Genomic DNA, 4,558 nt, shown 5'->3' with positions numbered 1-4,558 from the left:
TGGGGCGTGGGTGTGGGCTGCGCGGCGCGTGCTGCCCCCGGGGATCTTGCGCGCCTCCCGAACAGCCGTGTTGTCGCCAGGGCCGCGCCTTCCCTCCCACAGCGCGCGCTGCGCGTGCGAAGGTCTGGCGGCTCTTGGGACTGGCGGGGCTGCGCGCGGGGTTAGGGTGGGGGTACGGGAAGGCTCAACCCAGGACCTGCGTACCTTGCTTTGGGGGCGCACTAAGCACCTGCCGGGAGCAGGGGGCGCACCGGGAACTCGCAGATTTCGCCAGTTGGGCGCACTGGGGATCTGTGGACTGCGTCCGGGGGATGGGCTAGGGGGACATGCGCACGCTTTGGGCCTTACAGAATGTGATCGCGCGAGGGGGAGGGCGAAGCGTGGCGGGAGGGCGAGGCGAAGGAAGGAGGGCGTGAGAAAGGCGACGGCGGCGGCGCGGAGGAGGGTTATCTATACATTTAAAAACCAGCCGCCTGCGCCGCGCCTGCGGAGACCTGGGAGAGTCCGGCCGCACGCGCGGGACACGAGCGTCCCACGCTCCCTGGCGCGTACGGCCTGCCACCACTAGGCCTCCTATCCCCGGGCTCCAGACGACCTAGGACGCGTGCCCTGGGGAGTTGCCTGGCGGCGCCGTGCCAGAAGCCCCCTTGGGGCGCCACAGTTTTCCCCGTCGCCTCCGGTTCCTCTGCCTGCACCTTCCTGCGGCGCGCCGGGACCTGGAGCGGGCGGGTGGATGCAGGCGCGATGGACGGCGGCACACTGCCCAGGTCCGCGCCCCCTGCGCCCCCCGTCCCTGTCGGCTGCGCTGCCCGGCGGAGACCCGCGTCCCCGGAACTGTTGCGCTGCAGCCGGCGGCGGCGACCGGCCACCGCAGAGACCGGAGGCGGCGCAGCGGCCGTAGCGCGGCGCAATGAGCGCGAGCGCAACCGCGTGAAGCTGGTGAACTTGGGCTTCCAGGCGCTGCGGCAGCACGTGCCGCACGGCGGCGCCAGCAAGAAGCTGAGCAAGGTGGAGACGCTGCGCTCAGCCGTGGAGTACATCCGCGCGCTGCAGCGCCTGCTGGCCGAGCACGACGCCGTGCGCAACGCGCTGGCGGGAGGGCTGAGGCCGCAGGCCGTGCGGCCGTCTGCGCCCCGCGGGCCGCCAGGGACCACCCCGGTCGCCGCCTCGCCCTCCCGCGCTTCTTCGTCCCCGGGCCGCGGGGGCAGCTCGGAGCCCGGCTCCCCGCGTTCCGCCTACTCGTCGGACGACAGCGGCTGCGAAGGCGCGCTGAGTCCTGCGGAGCGCGAGCTACTCGACTTCTCCAGCTGGTTAGGGGGCTACTGAGCGCCCTCGACCTATGAGGTAACAGCCGGGAGGCAGGGAGGAGGGAGGGCCGGGGGCCGGGGTGGAGGGACGGGGTGGGCAGGCCCGGCGGGTCGCGCCCCCAGGAGCCCGCGGAGCCGAGCGCCAGGCCCGAGCGATGGCTTCGATTTCGCTCACTCTTCATTTCCCCCAAAGTTTTTCAAGCCCGTGCAAGACCGGCGTTTGTTTGTCCGGGATTGCAAAACTTCCCCTCGCGGCTCAGCCGCCGACGAGGGAGGGGTAGACGAGGGGAGGGGAGCGGCCGTCGGGCCGTTGAGGTCTCTAGTGCTGGCGGATCCTGGGGCAGATTGGGGTGCTGGAGGCGGGGTGACTTTGCATTGCAAATCGCGCTCCCGGGCCGGGGCGGCAGAAATGAGTCGGCGGGCGCGGAGCCCTGACTCACCGCGGCTCCGAGCGCCCGCCCCGCCCCCGCCGTGTCTCAGACCGAGTCGCGGCACCCACGGACTCAAGACTCCAAAACCAACCGAGCAAACGAAACTGCCGACTTCGCTTGGGGGAGGTGCGGGCAGGGCCGGCCCGGGCGGGGTCTGCCCCGGGCCCGCGCCCGCGTTGACGCGCGTTTGGTTCCCCACCTTCCCCCCGCAGCCTCAGCCCCGGAAGCCGAGCGAGCGGCCGGCGCGCTCATCGCCGGGGAGCCCGCCAGGTGGACCGGCCCGCGCTCCGCCCCCAGCGAGCCGGGGACCCACCCACCACCCCCCGCACCGCCGACGCCGCCTCGTTCGTCCGGCCCAGCCTGACCAATGCCGCGGTGGAAACGGGCTTGGAGCTGGCCCCATAAGGGCTGGCGGCTTCCTCCGACGCCGCCCCTCCCCACAGCTTCTCGACTGCAGTGGGGCGGGGGGCACCAACACTTGGAGATTTTTCCGGAGGGGAGAGGATTTTCTAAGGGCACAGAGAATCCATTTTCTACACATTAACTTGAGCTGCTGGAGGGACACTGCTGGCAAACGGAGACCTATTTTTGTACAAAGAACCCTTGACCTGGGGCGTAATAAAGATGACCTGGACCCCTGCCCCCACTATCTGGAGTTTTCCATGCTGGCCAAGATCTGGACACGAGCAGTCCCTGAGGGGCGGGGTCCCTGGCGTGAGGCCCCCGTGACAGCCCACCCTGGGGTGGGTTTGTGGGCACTGCTGCTCTGCTAGGGAGAAGCCTGTGTGGGGCACACCTCTTCAAGGGAGCGTGAACTTTATAAATAAATCAGTTCTGTTTACCAGTGGCTCCTATCACCTACACTTCCCAGGTGACGGCCAGACTTCCGTGGTCACTACTCCTCAAACCCTGCTGCCTCCTCCGTAGGGTGGGTCTGGGTGAGATCTGGAGTGCAGCCAGGCCGTTGATAGCGGAGCCATTGGGACACCTTGTGAGGCTGGGGGCATCCTCCAGGAGGTGGTGGGCTGGTGGGTTGTCCAGACAGGGCTACTCGCTGGCTTGGAAGCTGCAGGCTGGAGGCTGCTGACCCATCCCGAGGGCTGGGGTAAGTGCTGGGTGTGGGGCTAGGCTGAGGTGGTCTGACCAGAGAGCACCGGCTGTGGGGCTGAGGGCATGGGCTCCTGCGCAGGCCACCACGCTCAGATCTCCACTAACGTGGCAGCTGGGCAGCCCAGGGCAAGTGGGTTAACTTGCAAATGGGTTTGACCAGACCCACCTCAACGGCCTCTGGGAGGAGTTAGTGAGAGGTGCCTGGAGGCTGCCCTCTCGCTAGCTTTGGGTTTTGCCCGCACTGGGGAGGCCCTGCAGGTCTCCGCTCACCTGAATTCTAAGAGCGGCTCTTGAAAGGAACAAGGAAGGCTTGGAAGCTTTGCGCCAGGCTCCCCGCAGCCGGAGAGCTGGCACTGGGATATTACACGGCTATACCTTTGACTCAGGGCCTAGGAGGCTTTGATGTCTCACTGTACCGAAAGCTGCCTTTTAGTGTCCTGGTGGGGGAGGGGTTGTGGGGCTCCCCCGGTTTCTTTAGGGCGCAGAGGCACCCCTTCCTTCAGAAAGGAGTGGTTGGGACAGAGCCGTGGGAGCCCTGCGAGGTGGGAGCAGCTGGTGTTGTCCCAGAGTGGGTGGCTCCTGAATAACCACGGCAACAGGACACCCAGGCTACCGGGATGCCTGGGTCTCAAACGTCAGGCTGGCCAGGTCCCTTCTTATCAGAGGAGCTCAGGGCTCCTCTCTCGCCAGCTGCAGCCTCAGTCCAGGTGGGGGCTCCTCAGCAGCCAAGGTCAAAGCCGAGTCTGTAGCGGGGGTCAAAGGGGTCAGCTGGTCTGATGAGGACCAGGCTCAACTGGGGTCAGTGGACCAGCTGTGGCTTGGGGCTGCAGGGCTCAGGGAACTGGCCTTGGCCAAGGGACAGGAGGGGGCACATTGCCGTGGTCACCCAGGGAGGGACATCCCACAGGCTTCTCCCAGAATCCACACCCGGGTCGGTGGCCTCCCTGAGCCCTCCCCAGGACTCCACACCTTGACCTCAAGGAAAGGCCCACAGCTGCCAGGACCACAGGGGGCTGTTGGGTGGGTGAAGAGGGTAGGGGGGAAACGATGGAAGGCCAGGGCAGAGGAAACGACTGCCACCCACTGGCGTGAAGCGGACAAAACTCTGCAGAGGGTAAGTAGTGCTGCCATTTTTGTTTTCCCATTTTCCCATTTTTCATTTTATTATGGAAAATTTCAAACATACACAAAAGCACCGAGGCCTTTGTTGAGCAGTCTCTGTGCCAGGACTTAGGGTGCATCCGTGTGCCACACAAGCCCGTGCTCGTGGAGCCTGGGTCCTAGCAGTGGACACAGGATCCAACCGTTGTACAGTCTGGCCGGTGGAGGACGCACTGGGCTCCAGGGCAGCCCTGGGAAGCCTCCAGCACCAGTTTCAAGGCCCTTCCTGCCCCATCCATCCCCCACGCCATCCCTGCGTTGCTTTGAAGCAAATCCCAGACTTTGAATCCTTTCACCCGTCATGTTTCACGTGTGCCTCTAAAGGAAACCGCAAAAACATCACCCGCTCAAATGAACCACCGTTCTTTCATATCATCGGGGACCCAGCCAATGGCGCAGTCCTCAGGGGGTCTCGTGGTTTTGTGCAGTTGGCCTTATAGAATCGGGATCCGCCGCAGGTCCACACATCAAGTTTGCTTAATAGGTCTCTTAAGCGCCTTGTAAGCAATTTCCCTCCAGTGTCTTCATTGAAGAAGCGGAGATGTCTGT

At 65.2% G+C, this 4,558-nt stretch overlaps 1 protein-coding gene across 1 annotated transcript; it reads left to right on the top strand.

The window, feature by feature from the left end:
- The first annotated feature begins 488 nt into the window (after nucleotides 1-488).
- On the top strand, nucleotides 489-2,579 carry ASCL2 (achaete-scute family bHLH transcription factor 2). Its single transcript, NM_005170.3, has 2 exons — nucleotides 489-1,344; nucleotides 1,951-2,579. Exon 1 carries the CDS (start codon nucleotides 745-747, stop codon nucleotides 1,324-1,326), a length of 582 nt encoding a protein of 193 aa, NP_005161.1. The 5' UTR covers nucleotides 489-744; the 3' UTR covers nucleotides 1,327-1,344; nucleotides 1,951-2,579.
- The last annotated feature ends 1,979 nt before the right edge of the window (nucleotides 2,580-4,558 follow it).

This window comes from Homo sapiens, chromosome 11, assembly GCF_000001405.40.
Source record: "Homo sapiens chromosome 11, GRCh38.p14 Primary Assembly".
NCBI classification, from domain to species: domain Eukaryota; kingdom Metazoa; phylum Chordata; class Mammalia; order Primates; family Hominidae; genus Homo; species Homo sapiens.
This window is presented reverse-complemented; position numbering and strand designations above follow the sequence as displayed.